The sequence below is a fragment of the Homo sapiens genome, chromosome 9 (assembly GCF_000001405.40).
Source record: "Homo sapiens chromosome 9, GRCh38.p14 Primary Assembly".
NCBI lineage: Eukaryota > Metazoa > Chordata > Mammalia > Primates > Hominidae > Homo > Homo sapiens.
The window spans coordinates 5,126,666-5,143,185 of record NC_000009.12 but is presented as its reverse complement, the minus strand read 5'-3'; the positions used below and the strand labels follow the sequence as shown (position 1 = coordinate 5,143,185).

General features: G+C 35.6%; 2 protein-coding genes across 10 annotated transcripts in view; one reads left to right on the top strand and one right to left on the bottom strand.

Moving 5' to 3' along the window:
• INSL6 (insulin like 6) overlaps nucleotides 1–16,520 on the top strand; it is a 193,664-nt gene that overhangs the window by 42,454 nt on the left and 134,690 nt on the right. The gene's annotated exons all lie outside the window — the stretch shown is intronic.
• The window catches only part of JAK2 (Janus kinase 2), a 145,559-nt gene continuing 142,276 nt past the window's right edge, over nucleotides 13,238–16,520 (bottom strand). For all 9 annotated transcript variants that reach the window (NR_169763.1, NR_169764.1, NM_001322194.2 and 6 more), the window contains one exon: nucleotides 13,238–16,502. Coding sequence is in view for 7 of the 9 variants with exons in the window: in NM_001322194.2 (NP_001309123.1) it covers nucleotides 16,395–16,502 (108 nt within the window). In the remaining 2 variants the exon portion in view is untranslated. The remainder of the gene's footprint in view (nucleotides 16,503–16,520) is intronic.

Here is a 16,520-nt window from a genome sequence, read left to right as displayed (position 1 = left end):
CTGATACCAAAACCTGGCAGAAATACAAAAAAAAGAAAACTTCAAGCCTATATCCTTGATGAACATCAGTACAAAAATCCTCAAAATACTGGCAAACGGAATCCAGCAGCACATCAAAAAGCTAATCAATCACAATCGAGTAGGCTTTATCCCTGGGATGAAAGGTTGGTTCAAGCATATCAGTAAATGTGATTGACCACATAAACAGAGCTAAAGATAAAAACCACATGATTATCTCAATAGATGCAGAAAAGGCTTTCAAGAAAATTTAACATCCATTCATGTTAAACTGTCAATAAACTAGGTATTGAAAGGAATATACCTCAAAATAACAAGAGCCGTATATGACAAGCCCACAGCCAATATCATACTGAATGGGTAAAAGTTTGAAGCATTCTCCTTGAAAACTGGCACAAAACAAGGATGCCCTCTCTCCCCACTCCTATTCAACATAGTACTGGAAGTTCTGGCCAGGGTGATCAGGCAAGAAAAAGAAAGAGTATTCAAATAGGAAGAGAGGAAGTCAGATTATCTTTGTTTGTAGATGACACGATCCTATATCTGGAAAACCCCATAGTCTCAGCCCAAAAGCTTCTTAAGCTGATAAACAGCTTCAGCAAAGCCTCAGGATACAAGATCAATTTGCAGAACATCACTAGCATTTCAGTACACTTAACAACACCTCAAGTTGAGAGCCAAATCGGGAACAAACTCCCATTCACAGTTAGAATAGCTAGAAATACAGTTAACTAAGAAAATGAAAGATCTCTGTAAGGAGAACTACAAACAACTGCTCAAAGAAATCAGAGATGACATGAACAAATGGAAAAACATTCCAGGCTCATGGATAGGAAGAATCAATATAGTTAAAATGGCCCTACTGCCCAAAGCAATCTACAGATTCAGTGTTATACCTGTTAAGCTACCATTGACATTTTTCACAGAATTAGCAAAAACTTTTACAATTCACATGGAACCAAAAAAGAGCCAAATAGCCAAGGCATTCCTCAGCAAAAAGAACAAAGCTGGAGGCATCATGCTACCCTATTTCAAACTGCACTAAAGGGCCATAGTAACCAAAATAATATGGTACTGGTATAAATACAGACACATAAACCAATGGAACAGAATAGAGAACACAGAAATAAGATTTCACACCTACAACTATCTGATTTTCGACAAACCTGACAAAAACAAGCAATGGCTAAAGGATTACCTATTCAATAAATCCTCCTGGGATAACTTGCTAGCCATATGCAGATTAAAACTGGACCCCTTCCTTACACCATATACAAAAATTAACACAAAATGGATTAAATACTTAAATATAAATCCCAAAACTGTAAATACTCTGGGAGACAACCTAGGCAATACCGTTCAGGACATAGGCATGGGCAAAGATTTAATGGTGAAGATGACAAAACCAATTGCAACAAAAGCAAAAATTGATAAATGGGATCTAATTAAACTAAAGAGCTTCTGCCCAGCAAAAGAAACTATCATCACAGTGAACACACAACCTACAGAATGGGGGAGAATTTCTGCAAACTATGCATCTGACAAAGGTCTAATATCCAGCATCTATAAGGAACTTAGAAACAAATTTAAAAGAAAAAACCCATTAAATTTACAAGGGAAAAAACATTAAAAAGTGAGCAAAGGACATGAACAGACACTTTTCAAAGAAGACATACATGTGGCCAACAATCGTATGAAAAAAAGCTCAACATCACTGATCATTAGAGAAACGTAAATCATAACTACGATGAGATACCATCTCATGCCAATAAGAGTGGCTATGATTAAAAAGTCAAAACACATATGCTGGTGAGGTTGTGGAGAAAAAGGAACACTTTTACACTGCTGGTAGGAGTGTAAATTAGTTCAACCATTGTGGAAGTCAGGGTGGCTATTCCTCAAAGACCTAGAGGCAGAAATACCATTTGATCCAGCAATTCCATTACTGGGTATATACACAAAGAAATATAAATCATTCTATTATAAAGACGCATGCATATGTTCATTGCAACATATTCACAATAGCAAAGTCATGGAATCAACCTAAATGTCCGTCAGTGATAGACTGGATTAAAAAAATGTGGTACATATACACCATGGAGTACTATGCAGCATAAAAAGGAATGAGATCATGTCCTTTGCAGGGACATGGATGGAGCTAGAGGCCATTATCCTTAGCAAACTAATGTAGAAGCAGAAAACCATATACCGCATGTTCTCAGTTATAAGTGGGAGCTAAATGATGAGAATACAGGGACACAAAGAGGGGAACAACACATACAGGGGCCTATTAGAGGGTGGAGGGTGGGATGAGGGAGAAGACCAGAAAAAATAACTAGGCTTAATACCTAGGTGACAAAATAATCTGTACAGCAAACCCCCATGGCACAAGTTTACCTGTGTAACAAACCTGCATATGTACCCTGAACTTAAAATTAAGGGGAAAAAAAAATGAATCCCCACCCCAGGTTTCCTTACTTTTGAAGTTAATATCTGGCTCTGCCACTGGTGACAGTCTGGGATGTTGGACTTTATCCTGTAGGAAATGGAGAAAGTTGGAAAGCTTTTGAGCAAAAGAATGACATGGTTATAATAGTGCTTTGGGAAGAATGACCTAATAGTGATGTGCAAGACTAATGAGAGAAGGTAGGAAGACTAATTAGAAGGTTATCATAATAATCACAACACAAAATTATGGGGGAGTGTAAAAGAAGAGACTGATGAAGCATTGAAAGAGAATGGAAAGAAAGTGCAAGTAATAAAAATGAGTCAAAAGTTTTTACTTAGGGTTTCGGAGCTCTGATGACTAATATAAGTGTGGTGTCATTATTATGATTAGGTACATTAGGGATGGTGGCTGCTTTTTGGAGAAAATATGATGAGTTCTGCCTGAGAGTTCTGATCTGATAGCTGTGAATGTTCTTATATATGGCTTTAGTTGGTGTCATTCACTTTTATACAAAATGGTTTTGCAGTATTGATTCTAGGTTAATATTTCCCAGGTTATTGATTTGACTTAAATAGATTAAATATATTTCCTAAATGCATAACTAATGCTGCTTCAATTTTACCTGTCATTTGCTTCTGTAAATTCATCAGAATAAACTTCTTTTTAGAAATGTACTATTTAATGTTGTGGGTTTTTTCCCAGTTATTTGCAAGTCATCTTTGTAATGCTTTCTAAAGATACATTTCAGTCTATTTTCAACTAACAATCCCTTGAAAAGACATCTGACACATTTTTGTTCACCAAAAGTATTTAGCAGTGCCATGTTCACTACAAGCTTTCAAAAAAGATTTGTTAAATGATTAAAATTTGTGGTTTGTTTACAACCTAGGCTCATTTCTTTAAAAATAAAATAATTTAGCATGTTGTTGTATAATGAGCACTAATCAGAATCAGAAGAGCTGGGCTCTAGCCTGGCTGTGTTCCTGAGCAGATCTTTGATGTGAGCAAGTCAAGCTAACCTCTTTGGACTTAGCTTCTTCAGATAGCTCATAAATGGTTTCAACTAAATCTCTGATTCTCTTCTACCACTCCAGTAGCACTCTTCTAGTTATATTTCATGTAGCAGATATGATACCTTTTAGAAAATATGGTTCCTTTCCTCAAGCAACCAGGGATGTGTCTAGACTTGAGAGTGTCTAATTTAAATAACACTTCTTTTTATTTTCACCCAATACTCTGAGGCAAAAGTCATCCAGTTCAAGCTTTTTAAAAATTCATTTACTTTCAACTTTCTTTGTCATCTAGCAAAAGGCAGTATTATCCCCTACATTGCTCCTTCTACAAAGACTGTCAACATTTTATCAAATTGTTGTGCAATTAATTTGTTTGATGGATAGGATGTAGTAATCCAACTATGAACAAATGGCCACTAAACTGCACGTGAAAAAATTGCTTATCATTAAAAAAATATACTTCAAAGCCACAATGCTATACTACACACCCATTAGAATGCCTCCAATTCTTTTAAAAGGCAGCATTTTTAAGTCAAAGAAGAAGAGCACATTGTCTTCTGGGTAAATTTCATAGCAAAGATATGACCTTTATTTGGCATTATTAGTTTCTTTCCTATTTCTCAAAAATGTTCTGTTTGAGGAAATTTTATTTTTATTTTAATACACAGTAATATAACATATGGTTTTAATAGTGAAAGATACTTTATTATCTCCTTGAACAACCAAGAAATGTTTTTTAACATGGTGCATATTGTTAAAATCTCCTGCTTTTCTTGAGAGGATTATTATATTTATTTTTTTTGTGACTATATAAAAACAACCCGACAGAAGAGTACTTGGGGATGTATTTCAATTGAAAAAAGAGGCACTTTTTGCATCTAGGAAGGAGATCTTTAAATTCTAGAGATTGTAATTAGGTAACTATTTTTTTAGATATTAAATCAGTGGGATTCAGTACTTTTATTATTTTTTTTTATTATAGTTTAAGTTCTGGGGTACATGTACCGAAAGTGCAGGTTTGTTAACATAGGTATACATGTGTCATGGTGGTTTGCTGCACCCATCAACCTGTCATCTACATTAGGCATTTCTCCTAATGCAATAGCTCCCTAGCCCCCCACTGCCCAACAGGCCAGGTGTGTGATGTTCCCCTCCCTGTGCCCATATGTTCTTATTGTTCAACTCCCACTTATGAGTGAGAACATGTGGTGTTTGGTTTTCTGTTCTTGTGTTAGTTTGCTGAGAATGATGGTTTCTAGCTTCATCTGTGTCCCTGCAAAGGGCGTGAACTCATCCTTGTTGATGGCTGCACAGTATTCCATGGTGTATATGTGCCACATTTTCTTTATCCAGTCTATCACTGATGGGCATTTGGGTTGGTTCCAAGTCTTTGCTATTGTGAACAGTGCTGCAGTAAACATATGTGTGCATGTATCTTTATAGTAGCGTGATTTATAATCCTTTGGGTATATACCCAGTAACGGAATTGCAGGGTCAAATGGTATTTCTAACTCTAGATCCTTGAGGAATAGCCACACTATCTTCCACAATGGTTGAACTAATTTACACTCCCACCAACAGTGTAAAAGCATTCCTATTTCTCCACATCCTCTCCAGCATCTGTTGTTTCCTGACTTTTTAATGATCACCATTCTAACTGGCATGAGATGATATCTCATTGTGGTTTTGATTTGCATTTCTCTAATGACCAGTGATGATGAGCTTTGTTTCATATGTTTTTTGGCCACATAAATGTCTTCTTTTGAGAAATGTCTGTTCATATCCTTCACCTACTTTTTTATGGGTTTTTTTTCTTGTAAATTTGTGTAAGTTCTTTGTAGATTCTGGATATTAGCCCTTTGTCAGATGGGTAGATTGCAAAAATTTTTTCCCATTATGTAGGTAACCTGTTCACTCTGATGATAGTTTCTTTTGCTGTACAGAAGCTCTTTAGTTTAATTAGATCCCATATGTCAATTTTGGCTTTTGTTGCCATTGCTTTTGGTGTTTTAGTCATGAAGTCTTTGCCATGCCTAAGTGCTGAATGGTATTGCCTAGGTTTTCTTCCAGGTTTTTTATGGATTTAGGTCTTATATTTAAGTCTTTAATCCATCTTGAGTTAATTTTTGTATAAGGTGTAAGGAAGGGATCCAGTTTCAGCTTTCTGCATATGGCTAGCCAATTTTCCCACCACCATATATTAAATAGGGTTTGTCAAAGATCAGGTGGTTGTAGATGTGTGGTGTTATTTGTGAGGCCTCTGTTCTGTTCCATTAGTCTATACATCTGTTTTGATACCAATACCATGCTGTTTTGTTACTATAGCCTTGTAATGTAGTTTGAAGTCAGGTAGTGTGATGCCTCCAGCTTTGTTCTTTTTGCTTAGGATTGTCTTGGCTATGCAGGCTCTTTTTTTTGGTTCCATATGAAATTTAAAGTAGTTTTTTTCCAGTTCTGTGAAGAAAGTCAAAGGTAGCTTGATGGTGGTAGCATTGAATCTATAAATTACTTTGGGCAGTATGGCCATTTTGATGATATTGATTCTTTCTATCCATGAGCATGGAATGTTTTTCCATTTGTTTGTGTCCTCTCTTATTTCCTTGAGCAGTGGTTTGTAGTTCTCCTTGAAGAGGTCCTTCACATCCCTTGTAAGTTGGATTCCTGGGTATTTTATTCTCTTTGTAGCAATTGTGAATGGGAGTTCACTCATGATTTGGCTGTTTGTCTGTTATTGGTGTATAAGAATGCTTGTGATTTTTGCACATTGATTTTGTATCCTGAGACTTCGCTCAAGTTGCTTATCAGCTTAAGGAGATTTTGGGCTGAGACGATGGGGTTTTCCAAATATACAATCATGTCATCTGCAAACAGAGACAATTTGACTTCCTCTTTTCCTAATTGAATACCCTTTATTTCTTTCTCTTGCCTGATTGCCCTGGCCAGAACTTCCAATAGTATGTTGAATAGGACTGGTGAGAGAAGGCATCCTTGTCTTGTGCCAGTTTTCAAAGGGAATGCTTCCAGTTTTTGCCCGTTCAGTATTATATTTGCTGTGAGTTTGTCATAAATAGCTCTTATGATTTTGAGATATGTTCCATCAGTACCTAGTTTATTGAGACTTTTTAGCATGAAGGGCTGTAGAATTTTGTCAAAGGCCTTTTCTGCATCTATTGAGATAATCATGTTGTTTTTCTCATTGTTTCTGTTTATGTGATGGATTACGTTTATTGATTTGAGTATGTTGAACTAGCTTTGCATCCTAGGAATGAAGCCGACTTGATCATGGTGGATAAGCTTTTTGATGTGCTGCTGGATTCAGTTTGCCAGTATTTTATTGAGGATTTTCGCATCAGTGTTTATCAGGGATATCGGCCTAAAATTCTCTTTTTTTGTTGTGTCTCTGCCAGGTTTTGGTATCAGGATGATGCTGGCCTCATAAAATGAGTTAGGGAGGATTCCCTCTTTTTCAATTGTTTGGAATACTTTCAGAAGGAATGGTACTGGTCCTCTTTGCATCTCTGGTAGAATTTGGCTGTGAATCCATCTGGTCCTGGACTTTTTTTTAGCTGGTAGGCTATTAATTCATTACTTTCAGAAGTTGTTATTGGTCTATTCAGGGATTTGACTTCTTTCTGGTTTAGTCTTGGGAGGGTGTATGTGTCCAGGAATTTATCTATTTCTTCTAGATTTTCTAGTTTATTTGCATAGAGGTGTTTATAGTATTCCCGATGGTAGTTTGTATTTCTGTGGGATTGATGGTGATATCCCCTTTATCATTTTTTATTAAGTCTATTTGATTCTTCTCTCTTTTCTTGTTTATTAATCTGGCTAGCCGTGTATCTATTTTGTTGATTTTTTTCAAAAAACCAGCTCCTGGATTCATTGATTTTTTTTGAAGGGTTTTTGTGTCTCTGTCTTGCTCAGTTCTGCTCTGATCTTAGTTATTTCTCATCTTCTGCTAGCTTTTAAATTTGTTTGCTCTTGTTTCTCTAGTTCTTTTAATTGTGATGTTAGGGTGTCAATGTTAGCTCTTTCCTGCTTTCTCTTGTGGGCACTTAGTGCTATAAATTTCCCTCTACACACTGCTTTAAATGTGTCCTAGAGATTCTGGTACATTGTTTCTTTGTTCTTATTGGTTTCAAAGAACATCTTTATATCTGCCTTCATTTTGTTATTTACCCCAGTAGTCATTCAGGAGCAGGTTGTTCAGTTTCCATGTAGTTGTGTGGTTTTGAGTGAGTTTCTTAATCCTGAGTTCTAATTTGATTGCACTCTGATATGAGAGACTGTTATGATTTCTGTTCTTTTGCATTTGCTGATGAGTGTTTTACTTCCAATTATGTGGTGCAGAGTTCTGTAGATGTCTGTTAGGTCTGCTTGGTCCAGAGCTGAGTTCAAGTCCTGGATATCCTTGTTAATTTTCTGTCTCGTTGATCTGTTTAATATTGACAGTGGGGTGTTAAAGTCTCCCACTGTTATTATGTGGGAGTGTAAGTCTCTTTGTACGTCTCTAAGAACTTGTTTTATGGATCTGGGTGCTCCTGTATTGGGTGCATATATATTTAGGATAGTTAGCTCTTCTTGTTGCATTGATTCCCTTTACCATTATATAATGCCCTTCTTTGTCTCTTGATCTTCGTTGGTTTAAAGTCTGTTTTATCAGAGACTAGGATTGCAACCCCTGCTTTTTCTTGCTTTCCATTTGCTTGGTAAATGTTCCTCCATTCCTTTATTTTGAGCCTATGTGTGTCTTTGCATGTGAGCTGGGTCTCCTGAACACAGCACACTGATGGGTCTTGACTCTATCCAATTTGCCAGTGTGTGTCTTTTAATTGAGGTGTTTAGCTCATTTACATTTAAGGTTAATATTGTTATGTGTGACTTTGATCCTGTCATTATGATGCTAGCTGATTATTTTGCCCTTTAGTTGATGCAGTTTCTTCATAGTGTCGATGGTCTTTACAATTTGGCATGTTTTTGCAGTGGCTGGTACCGGTTGTTCCTTCCATGTTTAGTGCTTCCTTCAGGAGCTCTTGTTAGGCAGGCCTGATGGTGACAAAATCTCTCAGCATTTGCTTCTTCGTGAGGGATTTTATTTCTCCTTCAATTACGAAGCTTAGTTTAGATGGATATGAGATACTGGGTTGAAAATTCTTTTAAGAATGTTGAATGTTGGCCCCCACTCTCTTCTGGCTTGTAGGGTTTCTGCAGAGAGATCCGCTGTTAGTCTGATGGGCTTCCCTTTGTGGGTAACCCGACCTTTCTCTCTGGATGCCCTTAACGTTTATTCCTTCATTTCAACCTTGGTGAATCTGACAATTATGTGTCTTGGGGTTGCTCTTCTCGAGGAGTATCTTTGTGGTGTTCTCTATATTTCCTGAATTTGAATGTTGGCCTGCCTTGCTAGGTTGGGGAAGTTCTCGTGGATAATATCCTGAAGAGTGTTTTCCAACTTGGTTCCATTCTCCCTGTCAACTTTCAGGTACACCAAACGTAGATTTGGTCTTTTCACATAGTCCCATATTTCTTGGAGGCTTTGTTAGTTTCTTTTCACTCTTTTTTCTCTAATCTTGTCTTCTTGCTTTATTTCGTTAAGTTGATCTGCAATCTCTGGTATCCTTTCTTCTGCCTGACCGATTCAGCTGTTGATACTCGTGTATGCTTCATGAAGTTCTCGTGCTGTTTTTTAGCTCCATTATGTCATTTATGTTCTTCTCTAAACTGGTTATTGTAGTTAGCAATTTGTCTAACCTTTTTTCAGTGTTCTTAGCTTCCTTGCATTGGGTTAGAACATGTTCCTTTAGCTCAGAGGAGTTTGTAATTACCAACCTTCTGAAGCCTACTTCTGTCAATTCATCAACCTCATTCTCAGTCCAGTTTTGTTCCCTTGCTAGCGAGGAGTTGTGATCCTTTGGAGGAAAAGAGGCATTCTGGCATTTGGAATTTTCACCCTTTTCTTGCTGGTTTCTCCCCATCTTAGTGGATTTATCTACCTTTGGTCTTCATGTTGGTGACCTTTGGGTGGGGTCTCTGAGTGGACATTTTGTTGATGTTGATACTGTTCCTTTCTGTTTGTTAGTTTTCCTTCTAACAGTCGGGCCCCTGTGCTGCAGGTCTGCTGGAGTTTGCTGGAGGCCCACTCCAGATGCTGTTTGCCTGGGTATCACCAGCAGAGGCTGCAGAACAGCAAAGATTGCTGCCTGTTCCTTCCTCTGGAAGCTTCATCCCAGAGGGGCACCCACTAGATGCCAGCCAGAGCTTTCCTGTATGAGTGACATAAGGTAACTTTTTAAAAAGATTATGTGTAAACTATTTTTTTTGGCTCAGTATTTATTTAAAGATCTAGTACTCTTAGCTTTTCTGACACTGTCGTATCTGCTTATCATATTGAGGTTATTTCTGAGGTAGTGCTGGTTTGACCTATGTCTATATGAGCACACTCTAAAGTAGTGTTTCTCAACTTTTTTTTTGCATTATCCTCCCCCAACTTTCCCACCAGGAACATTTTAGACATCTTTCCCTAATTTCCTCTACCATGACACTCTAATATCACTGCATATCTGTTTATGTACTGTATTTCTGTGCTTTATATGATTTTTTCATCCTCCAACATCAGTTTTCACACTCTTGGAGGCATAACACCTCTGCTGAAAAAATCATGCCCTAGAAAGAATATATGAAATTCCAACTCTCACTACCCCAGGTCCAACATACCCTTCCTCTGGGATCTTTATGGATGATGAGATTATTTGAGGCCACACCAAATTAGGCTCCCTGAAAACTATGATTAGGGCTCATATTCCCAGAGCGGTAGCAGAACTGAAAGTTGTAATCTTCTAATTTTGTCTGAATGTTTAACAGGGAATTTTAAATTGATACACCATCAGGATTCACCCTCAAGTAAGATTATCCAGGATTCCTTTGCTACATCCATAATTGGTTTATCTACTCTTCTTTATTCTTAATATGTTGAACAAGATTTAGGACTTTATCAACATACTTAGGAGATCAGTTTCACTACTACAACCATTAATATGAGTTATCTGATGCAACTTGAAGTTGTACGTAGCTTGCACTGTCAGTATTGATGGGTGAATGTCTATGTAGAAAAGTCTGAAGTGGTATGCAATATGGATAGTCTTTTTTTTTTTTAAGAAAAAGAAAAAATGTTTTACTAAGAATCTGATTGTTAAACAGCTAAGTTGTTGGAGCAACTGTGAGAGAATGGCCTAGGCAATTACTAGAACCAAGGTATTTTTGGCATTTGATTGTATTGTCCATACTCTCACCTTCCACATTTAGGACAGTAGTTTTAAAATAAGAGAAATTAAAGATGTTGAAAAAAATTCCCATTAAATGTGAATGATCTTAGATGATAGAAACTGAAATTCTTTTTTCCTAGCACCATGTTCATCATTCTTTAGATCTCAGATTTCCAAACTATGTTTTAGAAAAGGATTGTTCTGTACAGTAAAGTCTCAATTTTTAGAATTTTCTTCCTCTGAAATAATTTTAAAAATGAATGGTGCCTTCTTAAGGAATAATGGTATGCTCACTGTTCTAGGATTCAACTTCAACATTTTTCAAAGTCCTTCAATAAGAAGGTAAAACTCAGTTTCAAGTTTCTTTGTCAACAACAACCTTTACTCCTATTACCAAGAATTTCTATTCAACAAACTGCAAAGCAGTTATAAAAGTAATAAAGGTAAAAAAAAGTGGTACCATGAGATTCACACTGTCTTCAAAATTATTGATAGAAACAAGGATTTATAACAGCCTTTAAAAAAACAATTCTGGCAGAATTTGTGGGAAATACTATTATTTTAATTTTTAAATGCCTCTTAACTGTAGTCAGTAAGTGCTATCAATCAATACAATCCAATTATTGTCGTTTAGCTGTGGGCTCCCTACAGCCTGCACATGACGGCTTATATACCTTGGTTATGCAGATTAAAATTGTTAACTGGGCCGGGCGCAGTGCCTCATGCCTGTAATCCCAGCACTTTGGGAGGTTGAGGCGGTTGGATCACCTGAGGTCAGGAGTTCAAGACCAGACTGACCAACACGGTGAAACCCTGTCTCTACTAGTAAATACAAAAAATTAGCCGGGCGTGGTGGCGGGCACCTGTAATCCCAGCTACTCGGGAGACTGAGGCAGGAGAATCACTTGAACCCAGGAGGTGGAGGTTGCAGTGAGCCGAGATCACGCCATTGCACTCCAGCCTGGACGACAAGAGCAAAACTCTGTCTCAAAAAAAAAAAAAAAAAAATTGTTAACTGGTGGTGTTAAAGAATTCAGCTATTTGTTCTTAAAAATCAAGATGAAGTCTTTGATTCTGTAAACAACTTTTTTTCTCTAATAAAAAATTGAGGGGTCTTAAATGTTACTAAGGACATAATAATAAATTTTGTTCTAATATACTTAAAATTTAGGATAGCCAATAAAAGCTCACTGTAATAACAGCCTTCAACAAAATTATTAAGCAGAGGAAGAAAGTATGATATGTATACTTCAAGTAGTATTCCACTAAGTATTTTCATTATTGAGTGCCTTGTTAGGTTTATCTTTCCATTTGCTTTAGTATCTTTGATTTCTTTAACTTCATTGTTTTTCATTTCAGTAAATAAATTCCAACTCACAATCTTATACTACATGCTCTTAGAAAATTCATACTCGGGCTGGGCGCGGTGGCTCACGCCTGTAATCCCGACACTTTGGGAGGCCGAGGCGGGCGGATCATGAGGTCAGGAGATCGAGACCATCCTGGCTAACACAGTGAAACCCCGTCTCTACTAAAAAATACAAAAAATTAGCCGGGTGTAGTGGCAGGCGCCTGTAGTCCCAGCTACGCGGGAGGCTGAGGCAGGAGAATGGCATGAACCCGGGAGGCGGAGCTTGCAGTGAGCCGAGATCGCGCCACTGCACTCCAGGCTGGGCGACAGAGCGAGACTCCGTCTCAAAAAAAATAAAAAAAAAAATAAAAAATAAAAAAAATAAAAAAAAGAAAATTCATACTCTGAGTTTCCATAATATATACCTCAAGTATTTGGAGGACCTTAAACTTTTTTATTATTAAATACCATGTACTTAATTATCTGTGTATGAAAAGCACCTAAACATTTTCATCTATGTATACAACTGTGTTTGAAAATAAATAACTGGTAACAGATTTTTCCATTTCACACTTTGTGTTTTTAGTGCTTATTGTGACAAGTCTTATCATCTGCAACTGATAATTTGCCTTCTTAGCTGCCTGTTGTCTCTGTAATATGCCTGCTCTACCATTTTTCCATACCACCTTGATCTATCTGTTATTTACCAATAATTCAGATCTAAAAGCTATGCTTCTGTCTGTTCACACTGCTCAAAGATGATTTACTTTACCTCAATAAATAGCATGTATATGAGTGCTTCTACTGCCATATATCTTCCTACTACTGCTATTAAAATTAAAACATTCACAGAAGCTTATAATACAAATAACTAGAACAGGGACTCTTAGAGCTCCTTTAAAGGTCTCGTTTTAAAAATCTGTTATATTCAAAATAAAATGTTAAGCAATTTGCTATGTAAATAAAGGCCTTATAATAGATAATGATCATTAACAACTTTTAAAACCGTAGTAGTAAGACTGGTGTTTCAGTTGGAGATAAGGCTTTTCCTTATAAATGTGAAAGACTATAAAAAAGAATGAAACATATTGAGAGCTTGCACCAACTAAGCAATGCCATCTGGCATAAACACAACTGAAATTAATTTTTTAACCTAAGAAGAATTTTATTTATATTGAAATAAAAGGTAAGATTATAAAAGTAAATATTTTAATATTTAGGTATACAGTCTGCATTTTACTAAGAATCTGATTAATGTAAAAAGTTAAAGGCTATATGATATACATACATGAATTTGACTGATGTAGTTTTTCAGTTCTCTCAGTGTCATTTTGAAATCTAATATCACTGTGAGAATTATGAAACGCTTAGCAGCTAGTTATCTTGATATTAAATCCAACCAACTAAAATCTGAGAGTAAACACACAGTATTTCTGATATTCATACTTTAATTGTTTTTTTCTTAAATCAAGCTTATCTCATAAAACCTAGTCTTTTGTTTGGATAATCCTGCTGACTTACTGTTACTATTTATTCTAATATACAGCAAACTGATTCTTAGTACATTATGCCCCCAAATTAGAGAAACTTTCATTAGAAATATTAGAGAAACTTTCATGAGAAATAATTTCAGTACAAGAATTAGGATGGGATACAACAGTGTTCATTAAAGACAATACAGTGGTTGACAGCAGTTGTAGGAAGCATTTCTTAAAAACTGGAAGGTAAGCTATCACAACATCCCTAAACCAAGGTGTGTGGCCCGTTTCCTTGGTTAGGTAAAAATGCAAAAGAAAATCGCTTCTGAATATTTACTACATCACTATTTCAATTTAGGGGGAGCATGCTAAAGAAATTAACATAGGCTCAATAAAGTGAGCACATAATGCCACACCCACCATCAAGATTGGCTCTATAGATACAGAACTGTAGGTATTTGCTAACTCTTTTGTAGCTGTTTAAATAAAATTTAAATACCAGAAGTTATAGTTGTGATGAAAATTACACTTGACTGTAAACTAGAAGCCTTAGGTTAAAAGAACACTCTTCCATAGCAAATTATAGTGTTACTGGCAGCATATATAAATAGCGTGAAAAAGTGACTATTTTCCAAACAAGTACCCATGGAAAAAGTCATTTATATAAAGATTGTATAACTTAATATACTGGAATAGTTACAGAATTACATAATTCTAAGAATACCTTTACCCTTGTTTCTGAAGAATATTAACGTGAAAAATATTTTGGCATTAACTGGTACAATAATTACTTACCTGTTTCTTGTACAGAACCAACTTAATAACTACAGGGTTATCTTATTTTTATGTGTAGTCAGAATCAAAATGGAAAACTTTACGAAGCCTCAATGAAAAGAAGTCTCTTGGAAACTTGGAATTTTATAATAAGGTAGTCACCCCATTCTAAAAACAAGAATGTACATGTGGGATTCTTTATATAAAACTAAAAGATGAAGCATTTAAAAAAATGTTTAAGAAAAGTTAGTTCACATCTTGTTTTAAAAAGCAATGTTAGAGACCCTTGATAAGAACCTACTTTTAAGTATGTAGTTAAGTTTTAGTATGAAAATCTGAAATCAAGCATATTGTATGATAGGCTATTTTTCACTTGAAAGGTAGTAAAATGGAAGATCTCCTTACTGTGTTGCATATACAAATCCTTGAGGAGTCTTTACAAATAAAAATTAAACTTTCAAAAAAATCTAAAATCTTTTTAAAACCTAATTCACTGTCATTTTAGATGATTTCTGCATCCAGAACTATTAAAATGCTTTAAAAATGCTTTAAGTATAATAATGAATGTAAAAAACATTTCTTCCTTTTCCTTCCCTTCAACCCAAAATCAGAAGTCTTCAGTACAACTTTCAAAAAAGTAGAACATACCAGTAAAAATAAAGTAAGAAACTATTTTCTTTTTAATCAAAACAGCAAGTATTTTAAGTTTTGTATAAATAACACACACACACACACACACACACACACACACACACACACAAAACCCACCATATTTTATTTTAGCTATGGTGTCTAAAGTGGAGTAGCACTATAACAAATGACAACAACGAACAACCCCTTATACTTAATTGAAAAGATTTAAGATGTATGCTCATTTTTCTTAAAGATACACGTTATGAATTTTCTACTGGCATTCTTGAATAAAATTAACAAGCATACTTTTTTACTTATTTACCTCATTTCCCCTCTAAAAAGGAAATAAATCTCTTCTATGACTGCAATGCAAAATTCTGAAACCCCTCAAATATACAGTCTTTAGGAAAAAATTCTTAACCTGCTGCACTTCTTAATGAGCTATCCATTTTTAAAAAACAATCTAATCTATTTTATGGCTTAAGCTTAAATTTAGTTCATGAGCATAAATCCCAGAGATCGAAGAATGTTATTGGCAGTCAGCAGCTCAAAGGATGACAATATTCCTGGCATTCTTAATCTCAAAATTTTAAAAGAAAACTGTTCATAGTAGTCTTAGAAAAATTTGGAGATAGTTCCATTTAAAAAACACATTCACCACAAATAGATACAAGGGAAACCATAATAAAATAGATTATATCTTTGTAAGCTTGTTTCATTTCAAAATGTATTATTTAGGGTCAGGGAAATTTCCTATACAAATAAAACTAGACATTTGTTCCCTTTATGTGAAAAATATTTACAGTACATGGAACTACAAGCTAAAAGTATACACCTGCTTATAATGCTGGCCAGCGATATAAATGAACAAGGACACAAAGGTACTTATTCAATTATCTGAACATCTTAATTTGTTTGTATAGTGAAGTAATTAATTATAGATTAACTATGGAAAAATTAGAAAACAGTATTAATGAACACCAGCCCTCATGTGTGTAAAACATCACACAAGATGCCAAGGTATTATACATCCACTGTGGTAAAAACTATACATACATATTCTGTGCATCTTTAACATTGCAAAATTTACATAATAATTTTTTCAGGTCTCAAAAAGCTGAGTTGAAAAAGTCTATTTTTTTTCTTTTGCCAGACAAGAGTGATGTTAACTGACAATGTTTAAGAAACTTCTTACAAAATCCTTGCTAAGGAATTCTCATTAATGTCTTTTACTGGTGGCCTCATGAAGAAAAACTTACTAAACTTTGAAAGTTTTGAGCAGATATTTTCACATCTTTGCTGGCTAGCATCATGATTTATATAATAATGATATATGTAATAATAGTCCACAGCAATGTGAAATATAAAACTTTGTTCTGTAAATCTACTTTGGTCTCAGAATGAAGGTCATTTCTTTCATCCAGCCATGTTATCCCTTATTTGATCCACTCGAAGAGCTAGATCCCTAAAGGAGGGGCGTTGATTTACATTATTGTTCCAGCATTCTGTCATGATCATATAGATCTGTAAAGGAGAAAATAA